General features: G+C 48.2%; 1 long non-coding RNA gene across 1 annotated transcript, besides 3 other annotated features; it reads right to left on the bottom strand.

The window, feature by feature from the left end:
- Positions 1-219: 219 nt before the first annotated feature.
- On the bottom strand, positions 220-9,210 carry LOC105373618 (uncharacterized). Its single transcript, XR_923330.4, has 2 exons — positions 1,637-9,210; positions 220-334 (listed from the first exon to the last, which is right to left on the bottom strand). It is a non-coding gene; the product is annotated as an uncharacterized LOC105373618 (long non-coding RNA).
- Positions 2,514-2,583: a silencer, noted in NCBI's record as "silent region_11960". NCBI's record gives its function as "represses an Ori minimal core promoter by ATAC-STARR-seq in GM12878 lymphoblastoid cells {active_cell/tissue: GM12878}" and the evidence as "EXISTENCE:reporter gene assay evidence [ECO:0000049][PMID:35858748]".
- Positions 5,136-5,195: a silencer, noted in NCBI's record as "silent region_11959". NCBI's record gives its function as "represses an Ori minimal core promoter by ATAC-STARR-seq in GM12878 lymphoblastoid cells {active_cell/tissue: GM12878}" and the evidence as "EXISTENCE:reporter gene assay evidence [ECO:0000049][PMID:35858748]".
- Positions 8,276-8,375: an enhancer, noted in NCBI's record as "active region_16528". NCBI's record gives its function as "activates an Ori minimal core promoter by ATAC-STARR-seq in GM12878 lymphoblastoid cells {active_cell/tissue: GM12878}" and the evidence as "EXISTENCE:reporter gene assay evidence [ECO:0000049][PMID:35858748]".
- Positions 9,211-17,663: the final 8,453 nt, after the last annotated feature.

Here is a 17,663-nt window from a genome sequence, read left to right as displayed (position 1 = left end):
GTGAGCTGCAACACACTGTAGTTAGATATGCTTAGTCATTAACGAAACTGCCTTCTTCCTTTTCTGTTTTGTGGAGAGGACTCTGCCTTGCTAGGGATGTATCTCCTCAACAGCTCTCATTAGAGTCCTGTAAGGAACTGCTCCCACTGTCCTTGTTCACAGGTGAGGAACCTGGGCTAGGAAGGCCCAGGTGAGCAGGCTAGTGGGTGTCAGAACGCACTTACCTTCCTGAGCCACCGCGGACCACAGGCCTTCCAGATGCCCTTGCTGGAAGCACCTGTGGTGTCCTTCAGGTTCCTGTGACTTGATCTAAAGTTGTGTAGCTGGAGAAAGCCTGCGGAGGAGGTGCTTTGTAAACTGGGAAGTGCTACAGAAGACTTAAGAGAGAAGAAATGCCAATGAAATGTGTCATCTCAGGCATTTGTTGATGGTCTGAGGAGTGAAGCTGTGATAAGCCCTGGGCCACCTGGAAACCCTCCCTGCTGCCTGCCCGTGGAGGCCAGAACACCAGCTGGGCACCCTACCTGACTGTTCTGTAAAAGGGAAGCCACATCTGACTGCTGCAGGGAAACCAATGATTGTGTCATCAAAATCTTAAGGAGAAGGCTAGGCCAAGACTTAAGGAGACGGATCCAAGACGGTCCTAAATGGGAGGACCCTGGGTCAGGGCAGACCCCCGTTCCTGCCATCAGTTAGAAGTGAGATGAGATTGGAGATAACCAAGGAAACTCCCAACTCTTTAGTTTTAAAACTGATTTTTGGCCATGACCTGATTTTGAAAAGCCATAAGGTAAGGCCAGGTGCAGTGGCTCATGCCTGTAATCTCAGCACTTTGGGAGGCCGAGGCCAGCAAATTGCTTGAGCCTGGGAGTTTGAGACCAGCCTGGGCAACATGGTGAAACCCTGTCTCTACAAAAAAAATAAAAAAATTAGTTGGGCGTGGTAGTGTGTGCCTGTAGTCCCAGCTACTTGGGAGGCTGAGGTGGGAGGACTGCTTGAGCCCGGGAGGCAGAGGTTTCAGTAAGATGGTGCCACTGCTCTCCAGCCTGGGCGACAGAGCGAGACTCTGTCTCAAAAAAAAAAAAAAAAAAAAAAAAAAAGCCACAAAGTGTATCTTTTTGGAGAGAATATTTGTTGGTGGGCCCCTGACACGGGTGTTTTAAAACCCTTCTAGACGATTCTCTTTTTTTTTGAGACAAAGTCTCGCTCTGTTATCCAGGCTTGAGTGCAGTGGCGCCATCTCAGCTCACTGCAACCTCTGCCTCCCAGGTTCAAGCGATTCTCCTGCCTCAGCCTCCCAAGTAGCTAGGACTATAGGCACATGCCACCATGCCCGGCTAATTTTTGTATTTTTAATAGAGACGGGGTTTCACCATATTGATCAGGCTGGTCTCCAACTCCTGACTTCATGTGATCCATCCGCCCCTGCCTTCCAAAGTGCTAGGATTACAGGCGTGAGCCACGGCTGGGAAGGAGACCCAAGGCTCACTGCCCAGGGGCAAAGGCTGTGCAGATGGAAGGGCCAGGCTAGAGGAGGTGACCAGCCTAATAAGTGATTGGTGAGTGGCAGAGTGGTGCTGTAATCTATCTGTCCTGACTCCAAAATCTTTCAGAATCCCCAAATCATGCAAATTACCTTAAAGACCACGAGACTTCCACAGACCATGCATGGGTCTTATATTCTTGGCTGAGCTCTCTCATTTGATCTTCACTGTAGTCCTATGAAATTGGCACCTGTACTTTGATCTCCGTTTTCTGGATGAGAAAAATGGGGACTTTGCCATATTAAGCAACGTGCCCAGCAGCACGCAGCCAGGAGCCCAGAAAGCCTGACGCTGGAGGCGCCCCTGCGTGAGCTGCAGCGCTGAGATGTGCTGTGAGTATAAAATTCTCACCGGATTTTGAAAACGTAGTCCTAAAAACAAGTAAAATATCTAATGAACAATTGTTCATATTGATTAATCGGTTAAATAATATTTTTGATACACTGGGTCACAAATCAATCTCATGTCTTTTTGCTTTTTCAACGTGGAAACTGGAAAATCTAAAAATGTGGGTTGTGTCTTCTTCCCAGTGGACAGCGCTGCTGGAAGCCTGCCCCTCCCCGCGCTCGGTCCAGGGACGCTGGCGTTTCTGCGCAGCCGTGCCAGCAGCCGCGAAAGCGCCAGGCAGGGCTCAGGCTTTCTGTTTGGGATTCATGTCCAGGTGCCGGCCTGATCCTGAGCAGGCGCTTCAGGTGCCCGAGAGTCCATTCCCAAATCTGAAGAAGGGGCGAGGGACTCTCCTCACAGAGAAGCGTCCAGCACAGCGCTAGGGAGGGCGGGGGTGCGGGGTCCGGTTGGGAGGACGACGAAGGCGGACGTGGCGGCGCTCAGGGAGGCTCGCCCAGGGCCCGTGCGCGTTCCAGACCCCCGGCGAACGGAAACGGTAGAACCTCCCTAGAATTGACACGAAATAAGCCACGTAAGGGGCTGGGAGAGGAGCCATGTAGAAACTGATACAGTGCTGCCGGCGAACCGGGTGGCCGCCAGAAGATTCCTGCGGGCCGCACAAGTCTCAGGGGCTGTGGGGAGGGGCCAGGGGCCCGCAGGGCTGCCTGTCACTCTGGCCCCGCCCCGCCCCAACGCCGCCTGCTGCTGTCACCGCTATGCTATGACATAGGATATATGTCCTATGATATAGCTGGGCCATAGCTATGAAAACACGGCAGTGCTTAAGTAGATCAAAGCGGCTGTTCAGAAAGTATGGGCTCCTCCACGGGTGCAGTTCGCAGAGCAGCTCTGGGGAGACACGCTGAGTCGTCTGTCAGCACGAGGGGACTGGTGGGCACCGGAAAATGGGGATGAGAAGAAGGGCGTTAAGGGGCGTTGGCGCAGGTGACAGGCTGCAGATCAGCGCCCGAGGCTGCAGCACACTCCCACCGCGGGCCGGAAGGGCAGGGACTGCACGGGTACCCTGGGGACAGAGTGCAAGTGACCCCCTGTCCGCCACCCCAGAGTACAGCGTGTAACTGTACACCCTGGAGGTTCCCCAGCCAACCTCCTGGGTTTCAGGCAGGTGGCCAGGGTGGGTGTGGGTCCGAAGGGAGACCCCAGCCAGGGCGCATTGGCTGCAGCCCTAAACCCCCGCAGGTCTGTGTAGCTCCCCCAGCCACTCAGCCGCCCTAAACAAGGAAGCTGGAAGCAGACATCCCTGGGTGTGTTCAGCTGCCCAAGGCCACCAGCACCTTGTGTGTTTCCTTCTTCCTGCTTGGCAGGGAGCAGCTGGAAGCCATCTTGTCCTGAGACTGGTTGTTTCATGGCCGCAGATGGCTGCACTCCACCAGGAAGTAGAAGGAACACAGGCCGCCTTGCAAGCCTGTCTTGTGTGGAAGAAACCACTTCCCTAGGAGACCAGAACTAAGTCACTTGACTCCTCTCAGCTGCAAGAAAAGTGGGCAGCCCTGATGGGCACACCCTCGATTCCCATCTGAGGCTGGCACGGTTGCTGCCGGGTGGGTGGGAGGTATGTCAGCAAGTGGGGGTGGCTGGGTGGGAGGACACTGTGAGGGCCTGGGTCACCAGTGACCCCAGAAACTGCAATGCACTCCAGGTAGGTAGTCTGCATTGCTCATCACAGTTTTTCAGTGCCCTAGAATGCCTGGCAAAGAATCTGCTTTTAAACACAGGTTAAACTATGATGACGCTCAGTCGATGGGAGCTTGTCATTTGGGCAGAAAGTATGCAGTCCACTATTGGGGCTTCTGGGACTGAGATATGGGAACACTCACATCTTGGGCTTGGAGAAAGATCCCAGTTACAACTGAAGTGATTCTAAAGTACCAGGTTAGCTCATCTTCTAGCATTTTTTCCTCCTAAGTAAAAGGCTTTAAAAGCATGAAAGATTTGGGCTCCTTAGCAGGGCTTGAGCCTTCAGAGGTGGAAGTGATCCACCCAGCTAACCACCCCACACGAGCCAAGCAAGTGTTAAACTCTTCCCAAAAGAGCCGCTTGGCAGGACACCATCTAAGGGCAAAGGCTTTAGAGGTGGGTGAGTTACACTATGCTCAGTGGTGCTGCGGGCCCAGAGCACTGCCATGGTCTCCCAAGCTTGTCAAGATCCTAGTTACCCAGAGCATTCACAGCCTACTGTTTGCACTAACTGAAAATACTTAAGTGAATGAGAAAGTCCTCATTCATCCCTTGGACAAGGAGGAAGCCCCATGGCACGCACTGTAGACCCTGCTCCCAGGTTGCCATCGTTCTGTTTACTGGCTCTCGAATAGTTGAAAGTCCACTTAATAATAAAGTCATCCAGCGCGTTTCTCCTTGTCACACACAGAGCTATCATGAGGGAACCTTGTAAGTGCCTCGTTGAAAACCTGGAGCACTCTAGCTTTGTCACAGTGTTTCCCAACAGTTGGGCCTGGGAGCAACTCTGTGGAAGGAGGTTCTGTGGTGACATCACTTTGGAGAACTCTGACTATGAGATTCCTCTTTTGGAAAGATATAGTATACCTTCATGTATCAACAGCTGTATGTCCCTTTGAAAATAAAACTCTTTAACAGAAAACTCCATTCCTTTTATTCATGTAATATTAATTAACATCTATGGTGGGCAAATTAATGGCCCCTCAGAGATGTCCCTGTCACAATTGCTGGAATCTGTGACTATAGTGGTTTATATAACAAAGGGGAAATCAAGGTTGCAGGTAAGATTAAGGTTGCCAACTAGCTGATCCCAGATAAGGAGGGTATACTGGTGACTCAGGTTGGCCCAGTGGAATCACAAGGGTCCTCAAATGTGGAAGAGGGAGGAAGAAAGTCAGTCAGAGGAGAGACGATGACGGAAGCAAGGTCAGAGAGAGATTTAAAGATGCTATGCAGCTAGCTTTGAAGATGGAGGAAGGGGCCACAGGCCAAGGACTGCTGCAGCCACTGGAAGCTGGAAGACACAGGATACAGATTCTCCCCTAGAGACCCCAGAAGGAAAGCAGTCTTGCTGATTCCTTGAGTTAGTCAAGTGAGATGCATGCGGGACTTCTGATCCCCAGGTCAAATGTCTAGTGTGGCATCCGCATGTTCGGGAGAGAATCAGGGGCCTAGACAACATACCAGACATTTGACCTAGAGCTAAGATGGGGAGTGAGAGCAGGCATGAAGATATGGTCTGAGATCAACATGGAACTCAGGAACAACAGGCAGCGCTTGCCTGCCTGAGACACTCACATCTGTGTGTGAGGTGCCCATGGTGTGAGCACACAGTCAACCTCTGAGTTGTCAAGGAACCAACCACAGCAACTGCTGTGAGCAGAAAGTCACGAGCTTGTGCTCACTGTTGCTGCCATGCAAACTAGCAAACTAGGCCCCTCTTTCCCCGATCCTATTTTTAATATCTCTGACAATGAAACAGTGTGTGCTAACCCAAAGAAAAGGTAAGTCATGTCCATGGATAACCTTGGATTTGAGATGATCCCTTTTGAATGCTGTGCTCCTGTTTCTCCATGTCCACCCACTCTCTGGAGAGCAGCCAGGCAGATAACGTGGGAACGTGGAAATGTAAAGTGGAGACTCATACCCCCACTTCCAGTAGTAACGATTTCTTAAGTTTTTCCAGCTAGAGAGTAGGTGTACTCTGGAAGCTGGGGAGCTGCAACCAGGCTTAGGGGCCATGGTTGTCACCCAGCACCTTTGCCATTTGCTTGTCAGAGTTCTCCCAGAGCTGGTGCTTTTATCCAGGAGGTTCATTCCTAAGAATATTTATCTTACCCACTGCTTAATTTTGGGTAAGAGACTCTGGAAAGAAACCATTTCTTGTACTTTGCTAAATCATCATCAGTAGTCAGTGGCCTCTAACACCAGGCTCTCCACCCAGTGTCCATTGCTGACAGCCCTGCCGAGCCGGAGGCCCAGCATCTGCTCAGTGTGGCTCCAGGCATTTGCAGTCTTGCTGACCTGGCAGGGGGCTCAGGGCAAAGCCGCAAACAGGCTGTGTCCAGGAAGCTCCTCTGTTGGCTTGAGCACCATCTAAACTGAGCTCATTCAGCAGAACAAAAGTGTCAAGCCAACATGTAGTTCCTTTAGTCTCTTGCATTCCCCAGACCCTGGCGTGTGCACTTCTGGGGGTGATGTAATAATTACAGAGTACTCTGATGAAAATATTTTTATTTTATTAATTGTACTGGTATTTGTGATGTGAAAAGTAAAAAGAAGGATCAGATGACATCCAAAGAAAAATGTTAAGAAAAACAGAAAAAAATCAGAGACAGCCACGACAAACATGACATAGTTGTGCCCTGTGACTGATGCTGGGGCACCCGGATAGGAAGGAGGGCTCCTTTCCAGTACATGGGGTAATGTCCAGTGAATACCTTCTCTCAGAGGACACGTGCACCTCTGCCCACTTGCTTCCATCCCTCTCCACCTCTGGGCACATTATCTCCTGATTAAGTTTATTGGTAAAAGGGTCTCCTGCAACTCCACCTGTTACACATCGCTGTTTCTATTTTTCCATATTCTTTTCCGGGAAGAGGCTATTTGCATGAGGAAATTTGCATATTTCTCTGTGGCTGTTATTCTCATGTAGCGAGTTTGCATTTGGCTTATTTCACTCAATATTGTATCGGAAGCATTTTCCATGGTGCATATCATCCCAAAATAATTCTCAACTGTAGGGGTTGGTTGTTTCCTGTTTTTTAAAAGTTTTTAAATTTTTTGTAGAGACGAGGTCTCACCGTGCTTCCCAGCCTAGTCTCAAACTGCTGGGCTCAAGCCATCCTCCTGCCTCAGCCTGCCAAATGCATAAGCCACCCCACCCAGCCTGTTTCCTTTGCTTTTTTTTTTTTTCTTTTTAAATGAATACCACTGGACACACAGCTCTTGCCTTCTGTTGAACTTTCAGTTGTTTTTGGAGAATAAATTATTGCAAGTGGGTCAAAGCGCATAAATGTTCACACTTCTTAAGTGCCCACCCCACTAAGCTTGAGGCCTCTTCACCCATAGAAACAATGGTGACCTTTGTTCTCAATATGCAAAGGACCTTATCAAAGAAACTTTTCAATCAATGAGATAAAAAAAAGTGGAAAAATGATGAAGGATATGAATGTTACTTCAGAAAAAAAGAATACACTTGGTCACAAGCATATGAGACATACTCAACCTCACTGATAATTAAAAACTTGCAAATTCAAGCAAAAAAATAAAAAAGTCTTATAAGCAAGGACTGAAAAGTTTGGTAATAGCCCCGATGGTAAGGTCTGGGGAACAGTCACTGTCATTGTGCTCTGCAGACATGTCAATGGACAAAGCTGTAGGGGAGGATAACTTGGCAACCACTGTCCTCAGTGCTGGGGACAGCAGCACTGTCCAGTAGCACTTCCTGCCACCGTGGAATGTTCTGGACCTGGATCCAGCATGGCTGCCACAAGCCATGTGTGCTTACTGAGCAATTGAAATGTGACTGGTGGAGGCTGGGCATGGTGGCTCATGCCTGTAATCCCAGCACTTTGGGAGGCCAAGGCAGGCAGATCACAAGGTCAGGAGATCGAGACCATCTTGGCTAACATGGTGAAACTCTGTCTCTACCAAAAATACAAAAAATTACCAGGTGTAGTGGCGGGCGCCGGTAGTCCCAGCTACTCGGGAGGCTGAGGTAGGAGAATGGTGTGAACCTGGGAGGCGGAGCTTGCAGTGAGCTGAGATGGCACCACTGTACTCCAGCGTTGGCGAGAGTGCGAGACTCCGTCTCAAAAAAAAAAAAAAAAAAATGTGACTGGTGCAATGGAGGGACTGGATTTTTAAAATTTTTATTTGCTTTTAATAAACGAATTGAAATAGCCACACATGGCTAGTGGCACCTGTATTAGATAAGTGACACCTGCATAAGGATGCTGGCTCTAGGAAGCCCAGCAGCCTGTGATGGGTCTGCTTTGAGAACAGGGCATAGCTGAGTGCCCTATGCTGGGCTGTGGCTAAGCCAGCTGAGTTAAGCACATCTCAGGGAACTTTGTGTGCAAAACAAGAAAGAGGAATTGAAAACAGAGAAATAGTGGGAAGAGGCAGAGGAGAAGAATGAGAATTGCCTGTTGCCGTTTTTGAAGTGTGGCCTCCAGGCCTTGCAGCTGTATATCTGAATGGCCATGAGCAGCACCCCGGGCCTGTGTGAAGTCTGGCTGAGTGGCCACCGAGAAGGGTCTTTGCTGCCTCAGGTCCCAGATGTGGCCATCAGTACTTGTCAGAACCAGAGCAGGGGACTGTGCCTTACAGTTGGTTAGCTGGATCAGCTAACCAACACTCTCTGGCTGTTCCTGGCTCTTACATGTGGAACCAAAAATGTTATTGTATAGTTTGGTAAAAACAAATCATTACCTCATACATGATGGCTTACAAATCTGGATGCAATGGATTTGCACAAAATGAAGCATAGCTTAGTTTCTTCATGATCTGGCCTAGTGTAAAACGAGGGGATGCTGTTTGTCATGTCAATGACGGGGTGGGAGAGAGAGTGGCCACTCTGCCAGTGGTTTCCTGCACCATCTGTGGTGTGCACTAGCATTTCCCAAAGGGAGCAATATATTGGACCCTTTTCAAGGCAAATAGTATTGACAATGCCTGATAATTCATCTAGGGACCCTAGTTAAGTGTTCTATAATTATTAAAGAGAGTTAGAATTGTAAGCCAATTTTAGTTGACATATACATATATACATATATACACATACATATATTTTAACCTTTAAAAAATTCTTCCTGGCTGAACGCGGTGGCTCACGCCTATAATCTCAGCACTTTGGGAGGCTGAGGGGGGTGGATCATGAGGTCAAGATATCGAGACCATCCTGGCCAACATGGTGAAACCCTATCTCTGCTACAAATACCAAAAAAAAAAAAAAAATAGCTGGGTGTGGTGGCAGGCGCCTGTAGTCCCAGTGACTTGGGAGGCTGAGGCAGGAGAATTGTTTGAACTTGGGAGGTCGAGGTTGCAGTGAGCCAAGATCATACCACTGCACTCCAGCCCGGGCAACAAGAGTGAGACGCTGTCTCAAAAAAAAAAAAAGTTCTTCCATTCTTTTCATTTATTTTGATCACATGTATTACTTCCAAATATAGTCATAAGAGAGACAGATGCTAGATATGTGGATAGGCATTTTCTACCCCAAGGGTATGTAATATTCCATATTTTCAGATATACCTCTATAATTTTTTTAATATTTAGCTTTTTTTTTTTTTTTGAGATGGAGTCTCACTCTGTTGCTCAGGCTGGAGCGCAGAGGCACGATCTCGGCTCACTGCAAGCTCTGCCTCCTGGGTTCACGCCATTTTCCTGCCTCAGCCTCCCAATTACCTGGGATTACAGGCACACGCCGCCCAGCTAATTTTTTGTATTTTTAGTAGAGATGGGGTTTCACCATGTTGGCCAGGATGGTCTCGATTTCCTGACCTTGTGATCTGCCCGCCTTGGCCTCCCAAAGTGTTGGGATTACAGGCATGAGCCACCGCACCCGGCCCTAAATGTTTAGCTTTTAAAAATTCCTTGTGAAATCTGTCCAGGTGCAGTGGCTCACGCCTATAATCCCAGCACTTTGGGAGGCCGAGGCGGGTGGATCATGAGGTCAGGAGTTCAAGACCAGCCTGGCTAATATGGTGAAACCGTGTCCTTACCAAAAATACAAAAATTAGCCGGGTGTGGTGGCGTGCACCTGTAGTCCCAGCTACTTGGGAGGCTGAGGCAGAAGAATTGCTTGAACCTGGGAGGCGGAGGTTGCAGTGAGCCAAGATTGTGCCATACTGTACTTCAGCCTGGGCTATAGAGCGAGACTCCATCTCAAAAAGAAAAAAAAAAAATCCTTGTGAAATGTATGTTTGTTAAGGTGAAAAACAGAGCTGCCAAATTATTTTTTTCCACCTTTGTAATCAGTTCTCTAAACACCAATCTATTCACTTTTCCCACCCATTCAAAACATCCCATAATTCCCAATATACATGGGCTTTTTTTCAGACCTAAATTTTGTTCCATTGCTCCATCTCTGCCATTTTAATTGCTATAGCTCTTTTTTCTTTCTTTTTTTTTTTTTTTTTTTATTTTTGAGATGGAGTCTCACTCTGTCGCCCAGGCTGGAGTGCAGTGGTGCAATCTCGGCTCACTGCAAACTCCACCTTCCGGATTCAAGCGATTCTCCTGCCTCAGCCTCCCGAGTAGCTGGGACTACAAGGCACCCGCCACCATGCCTAGCTAATTTTCTTTAGTTTTAGTAGAGAGGGGATTTCACCATTTTGGCCAGGCTCGTCTTGAACTCCTGACCTCGTGATCCACCCGCCTCGGCCTCCCAAAGTGCTGGGATTACAGGTGTGAGGCACTGCGCCCGGCCTTAATTGCTACAGCTCTTAAAATTTAAAGCTGTTCCTGGACATTTTCTCTCACAGATGAATAGTAGAATCCATTTGTCAAATTTCATTTTCAAATTATTTTGGTAACTTGATTAAATATGCAGTATTTTCTAAGCTGACAAAGAACACAATATAGTCTGAAGGTGGAGGTGAGTCAATGGGCTTTCCTCCCTCACTCCCCAAACAGCCCCCATTTCCACATGGCCTCCCTCTGACATGCAGCCCTGGTCACTGGCCAAGAGCAATCTGTCTGCCCATGCCAGAAGCCTTCCTCTCCCTCACTTTCTAGTTTTCTTTATGGCATTGGTCAGCAACAAATAATATGTCAACATTATTTATGCATATTTTAGATTTATTGTCCATCTCTTCTTGCTATAAGTGAAAACTTTGAGTTAAAAAGGGCAGAGCTTTCATTGATCTATTCACTGATCTATCTGCAAGGCATATCATAGACACTGAATATTCATAGAATGAATGAGTGAATTTGGAGTGATGGCATTTGAGATGTGAAATTTGCCATCTTATTTGAACACCAACCTTGGTTTTAGGGCTAACTCCCCTCCAGGGGTAAGATCCCTGGGAAGGTGCTCTCTGTTGAGGAAGAGCAACTTCCCCATGGAGAAAGGCCTTTGTTTGGTCAACACCACATCATTTCATTTAATTTGATCTTCTCAACAATTCTGGAAGGAAGACAATGCAGATTCACCTGCAGGTGGGAATGTAAATTGGTACAACCTTTTGGAAAAAGAGTTTGGTTTAATGTGTCTTAACCATGTTCTCCCCTACCCCTCAGTCAGAGACCACCAGAGCACACTGTAGGCTAATAAACTGGGCTTGTTCCTCATTGCAGCAAGGAAGAACGCATACCCTGGGGAGCCTTGTGTGTCCCACTCAGTAAGGTTGTTAGAAAGAAACGATGATAGGATTAGGGCTTGGGTGACCTGCAAGGGGGTTTGAGGAACCCGGGCTCTGCTTGGATGGATGCTGTCAGGAAGTGGGGCTAGCTCTAGGGTTGGGGGTCTTTCTTTACAAGCAGGAGGAAGGAAGCCAGGCAAGAGCTGCCCAGCAAGGCAGCCGCCATGCTCAAGCAGCCAGCACAGGGCATCGTGGCTTCTGTGGCGGGGATGGTGCATTTGTGCTCAGATGTGAGTCCAGAGGGGCTTGGTCCTGTCTCGATCCCTCATGGTCGGGGTGGACTTGCCTGACATGTTATGTTCCATGACATAGTTTACATTCAGCAGAATACCAGGGCCCAGCTCCTGCATGTCAGGGGCTGCTGTTCTCTTTCTCACTGCCTTTTAACCCAAGGAGTCCACTTTTGGGCATCAATCATAAGCAAATAGATACACACGCAAATGAAAAATGTAAGGCCGGGTACAGTGACTCACGCCTGTAATCCCAGCTACTCGGGAGGCTGAGGCAGGAGAATCGCTTGAACCTGGGAGGCGAAGGTTGCAGTGAGCCGAGATTACGCCACTGCACTCCAGCCTGGCGACAGACTCAACAAAAAAAAAAAAAAAGAAAGAAAGAAAAAATGTATGTACATCTCACCATTATTATTAACAGAGAAAATGCCCTCCATATATAGGTGCAGTAAAGAAGTTTTACAAAGCAAATACGTGCCACAGGCCATGCTGGGCAGGGCAGAGTGCAGACAAGGCTGAGGATGGCATGACCACGAGTGGCCACCATAAGCTGGTGTGTGATGCAGCCCTACAAAGATGGCTCACTGGCCCAGAGACACTCAAGGACAGTGCTAAATAGAGAAGTGAGACATACGACTATAAATATAGTGTACTATCAGTCATGTAAGGGAAAATCTTTATTCATTCAACAAATACTTCCTGAGGACTGACTCCCTAGGGGACAGACCTGCCCCTTGTCCGTCTTTTCACTGTGATGATGGTATAGGGAGATGACATAGAATGTCCTAGAGGGAGACTGGCTAAGTTCCTGGACCTGGCTTCATGAGGCATAACTACCAGCTGCTGAGGTCCAGAAATTGGATGTTTTCCCCATATACTCCAAATTGATGACGCTTCTGAGGACCAAACAATGACAACCAAGTTCGTGTTTTGGTGACTGCCAAGAGGGTATGGGCACAGTTGTAAATCCACTCTGTTGACTGCCAGCTGGGGATGACTTCTCCAGTGAGAGGACAGCTCAGTCGTGCTCAGGAACTTTCTGGTAGCAGAAAGACCTAATATTCGGCCTTGGCAGGGGTCAGGCTGGCCCCAGAATTAAAGCCAGGTGAGAAGGAGCATCTTGGACGAGAGTCACCAGGTCCCAGAGGGTGAGAGCAAATCCTGGGCAGGCTCCTGATCTAAAGGATGGATTTTAGGGGAGTCCCCAAACAGTCCATGTCCTTTCAGGTGACATGTTTTACATTTCATATCTACTGTGTAAAACAAATTATTCCCAATCTTAGAAGCTTGAACAACAATACTTCTTATCTCACAGCTTCCCTGAGTCAGGAATCTGGGTGTGGCTATTCGGGGTCCTCCAGAACAGGGTGTCCCATGGCATCTCAGGCACAGTACAACCCCACGTCTGGGTCTACTCATCTCCTGCAACGTATACTTTACATTCTGCTCTTTTTTTTTCCAGCAAGGCCTTTCCATGTCCACATCTAAGCACACACAGCAAGTTTCTCCGCTTGCTTTTTAAGTCTGAGTATTCTGGGTAATCCAGTAACTCCTGGCCCTCAACTTCCCAACTCCTGACTGGGAGACCAATCTGATCCACCTGTGCTGGTCGCAGGCCGGTGCCTGAGCCATGGCCTGTCCAGCAGGTCAGGTGAGCGGCTGCACATGCCCCCAGTACCCTGCACAGCATCCCCTCCTTCCTCGCCTCCCACTTGCACCCTGCTCTCTGAGTGTGCCTAGCCCTTGGCACGTCCTTTAATGCCAACAATTCCTTCCAGACCAGAGACACAGGCAGGGGCTGAATGCATGCCACCCCCTCGCAGGTCCATGGGGTTGAAAACTGGCCTTGCCCCCAGCCTGCCCTGTCCCAACACCCTGGCTCCTCCTTCCACACATTCCGAGTGTCACCCCTGTGGGTGTGAATGTGGGAATGAAACCAGGTGGAGACAAAGCCACTGAAGCAAATTCTGTCCCTTAAACCTGTGGAACCAAAGCAAGACTGGCAACTCTGACTCTCCTGTGCCTGCTCTGCCCTCCCAGTGACTCTAGCTCCCTAAGCTGGAACCCAGATACAGCTTCAAAGGGCATCCAGAGGCCACACAGGATGTGGGCTTATCTCTTGCTCTCATGCGGGGGAACAGCTTCCCAGTGTGAATAAGACATTTGATCAGCCAGTCCTGCTCAGAGCCCTAGATCCACCCTGCTCTTGCTAACCTGAAGAACAGACACTAGGCTGGACATGGTGGCATGTGCCTGCAGTCCCATCAACCTGGGAGGCTGAGATGCGAGGACTGCTTGAGCTCAGGTGGCCGAGGCTGCAGTGAGCCATGATCCAGCCACTGCACTCCAGCCTGGGTGACAGAATGAGACGCTGTCCCTAAAAAAAAGAACAGACACTGCAAGAAGCACTCTATCTTGTTATAAATTTCACCTGCCAAGAACTCCCTGCTTTGACCTGCTTGCCTGCAGGTCATTGGCCCTGAGCAGGTAGTCAATGTTCTTTTACCACTTTGTAGTCGCACCTCCATTTCTGTTGCCCTTATCCTTCTTCACATCCACTGGTAACTGTCTCCTGACTGAGTTCCTCACCACCACTACCTGCATCCTCTCCCCTTTCCCTCATCTAGGAAACATGGTGCTTTCTAGTTCTAACATATCATGATTTTCTGTCTCTCACCTACCCAAAACACCATGTCCTCAATTCCACATTAAAGCTAGAACTAGCTATTCATCTTAGAACCACAGAACTCAGCTATCTAGAAGAAAACAGTGTTGTGCGTCTCTCTTCAAAACTACATATATCAAGAAGCTTCAGATTTGGGGAAAACATAAAAATAGCTGATGTTGGAAAGAGTAGGGGTGGGGCATTGGGGAGGAGAAAGAAGGAGCCAAAAATTGGTAGGAGATGGCCATGAAGCATATTCTGTCTTCCAGCAAATGGTGAAGCCATTCTAGAAATACACTAATTACTCCACTCAGTCCTGGGGAGTCTAAATTTCTTTGTAATACATCTCCAACTAGAGGCATTTATCAGACATAAAATCCCCTAGACATCTAACTTGCCTTTCCAGGAAAAAAAAAAAGACAAATATAATTTAACAATAAACTTGTGTAGGAAGACAGACACTAATGGTGAGAGCTGCACATAGTTGGTGTTAATGGTAAATTTCTTGAAGTCTGATTATTCTAGTGTAATCAAAATCCTCCTCAATTCAAATAGCTCTTAGGCTCTCTTGACCCATCACTAGACTGCCTGAAAAGCAGGAAAGTTCAGTCACTTAGAGAACACATCTTAGGCACACTATTCTGTTGCTGGCACATGGGACACATGAGCTGATGAATTGAGTGTGCCTATGGGGTCAGGTTTGTCTAAGCAAAATCAAACGAACAAAGGCCTCTGAATGAGTAGTTGCCAGCGGCCTATGCAGCGACTACTTCCTCCCCACTCACTCAGCAACTTGGGCCACATTTCTGTATTGCAGGGTTGGAATGGACTTTGTTCAGCCTCAGTGAGGAAGGGACCAAACACATTTGTCCCAGGTTCAAGGAGATCATGAGATTCTCCCATTTTCCAAATGTCAACACTGGGGATGGTGTGTATACAGTAGGCACATTTCTGGGGAAGTCGGCTATCTCACCAAAATATTGCAAGTAATTGTTGATATTCTGGATGCTGACTGCTTAGAGGCATCTGCTGTACATATGACAATGCAAATTTGAAACATTGGCTGGCAGTGGCAGAGCTACTGATCCCAAACCCTGGTGGGGCTCTTTGACTGGTTTGAAGGTCAGGGTGGAGAAAGTTCAACTTTAGAGCTCTTTCCCACCAAGCTTTTCTTTTCTTATTAAATTCAAAAAATGTTTATTGATCAACAACTCAGTGCTAAACCTATGGGAGAACCCAAAGACTTAAAAACCTGGGGTCCTGCTCGCCAAGACATGTTAAATGAGATAATATAAAAATTCCCATTTCTGGTACCTGAAAAAGGCTTGGGGCTGGAGAGGTGACATCGTTCAGCTTGCTGACCTCATCAATCATCTGTCCCCAGACAGGCAGACAGATCTGTTGGAGAAGTCATCCTCAAAAGTAAGGCTGCAGAGCCAGGGTCTGTTTGAGAGCAATGGAATCCAATGGAAATCACTTCTCAAGTACACTTTATGTTTGGACATTTCTCAGCTCTTAAAGCTTCTGACATTGATTGGATGCTGGTATGGCTTTATAAACACTTGTCTTTTTCATACACTCTTAAGGATTCATGTCTCCTCGACCATTTTGTATATTCTAAAATAACTATGCCATAAAATAAATGAAACAATTCCCACTTACTGCATAGTTTATTCAGATATTGACCTTATGTTTGGGCTGAACTTAGCTATAATTGAACAAAGAGTGATAAGCCATCGTTGCTTAGTGATATTTTCTATCACCTTCGCTGAGGCTGCAGTTGGCATTCTGCAGGCTCTTTCCAACAAGACCATTTCTCTGGTACACAACTGAGCAATTACACTGACTGAGCTGAAATCCACAAGCATTTGCGGAGCACTGCTCTGTGCAGGGGAAGCTCCAAACACCTAGGTGGCAAAGAGGAGCAAGACCCATCCCTGACCCATAGAACCTGCCTGTAGCCCCCGGATCCTGCCGGCCCAGGGCAGGGGTGTGATGAAGTGGACACCAAGTGCTCTGAGGAGCAGTGTGAGGGAAGAGAAATTCTGGAGAGGGAGAAGGCCCCACATCCCCAGGGCAGGTGAGATGTGAGCTGGGTCTCCCGGGATGAAGGAGACTGGGCCGAAGGAGAGGGTAGGGAGGAGCACTCCAGTAAGGCAGTGAAGTTTGGTGGAGCACTGACCGGGTGGGAGGCAGGAGAGGAGGTGGGAGTAGGGCCTGGAGGGTAAGGTTACCAGGGGCTGAGAAGCCATTAGACTCTCAGCAGCAGCCCTGAGCTCTTGAGCCTGCCCTTTGTTTTTTATCAAGCCCCCCCCCCCACCATGTTAGTATCAGGGAAGCTCAGGGGATCCCTATTGCAAGTGGCAATTCCTCACCCTCCCCTTCTGCTTCATGAGGTCAGATATCAGCTGCCCAATATCCAGCAGCAACTTTTAATACCATGTTTTGTTTCTGAAGGTAGCAAGGACATGTAAGCTTGGGAGTATGTGAAAAAAGCACTGAATCGAGAGTTAGGAAACAGAAACAAAGTTTTCATCAATTATGTAAAGCAGCTCTCTGCCCCTGAGATTGGAAACCAACCTAACCACAAATGGGGCCTAGTTTTCTCTCAGGACGTCACGGTCTAAGACAAACAAATGCCATACAAAGGAGAGAAGTCAAGGCAGGGGATGTTGAAAGCAGAAAAGGAGAAGTAACTAACTCCTGTGAAAAGGAGGCATCATCAGATCCGATCCTACTTGGAAACTGACAGCTGAGCCTTCACTGTTCCTACTGGGTCAGAAACAAAGCAACACGAGTATGGTGCCTGCAACGGTCCCATTGACCCCCACATCCCATGGGGGTTTGTGAGAGCCCAGACAGATGCTGTGCACCCAGTGGGCTGCACTGCAGAAGAGGAGCCCTGAGCTCAGGGCATATCCAGAAGGAAACATCACCTGCTGCAGTGTCCTATTGCAAACACAGCTCTGAGATGCCCAGTTCAGGAGCGGCCAGGCCTTGCATTCCTGGATACCCAGTGTGTGAGTTTCCTGTGGCTGCCATAACAAATGACTATAAACCGTGTGGCTCAAAACATGTTTATTCTCTTACAGTTCTGAGGTCCCAAAGCCTGAAACTGACGGGTCAGCAGGGTGGTTCCCTCTACTGTCTGTGAGGGAGAATCGGCCAGGCCTCTCTCCTGGCCCCTGGTGGTTTGCTGGCAATCTTTGGCATTCCTTGGTTTGCAGACACTTCATCCCCATCTCTGCCTCCATCTCAATGACCTTCTTCTCTTTGTCTCTGCGTCTCTCTCTCTTTTCTCTTATAAAGACATCATTGGGTTTAGGGCCCATCCTAAATACAGGATGATTTCATCTCCAGGTGTTTTAATTACATTTGCAAAGACCCTTTTTCCAAATAAGGTCGCATTCACAGGTTCTAGAAGTTAGGACTTGGACCTATCTTTTTGGGGGCCACCATTCAACCCACTACCTCCAGGAAAGACCTGTAG

This window comes from Homo sapiens, chromosome 2 (assembly GCF_000001405.40).
Source record: "Homo sapiens chromosome 2, GRCh38.p14 Primary Assembly".
Classification (NCBI taxonomy): Eukaryota; Metazoa; Chordata; class Mammalia; order Primates; family Hominidae; genus Homo; species Homo sapiens.
Note: the sequence above shows the minus strand (reverse complement) of the source record. Positions and strands in the feature narration are given on the sequence as shown.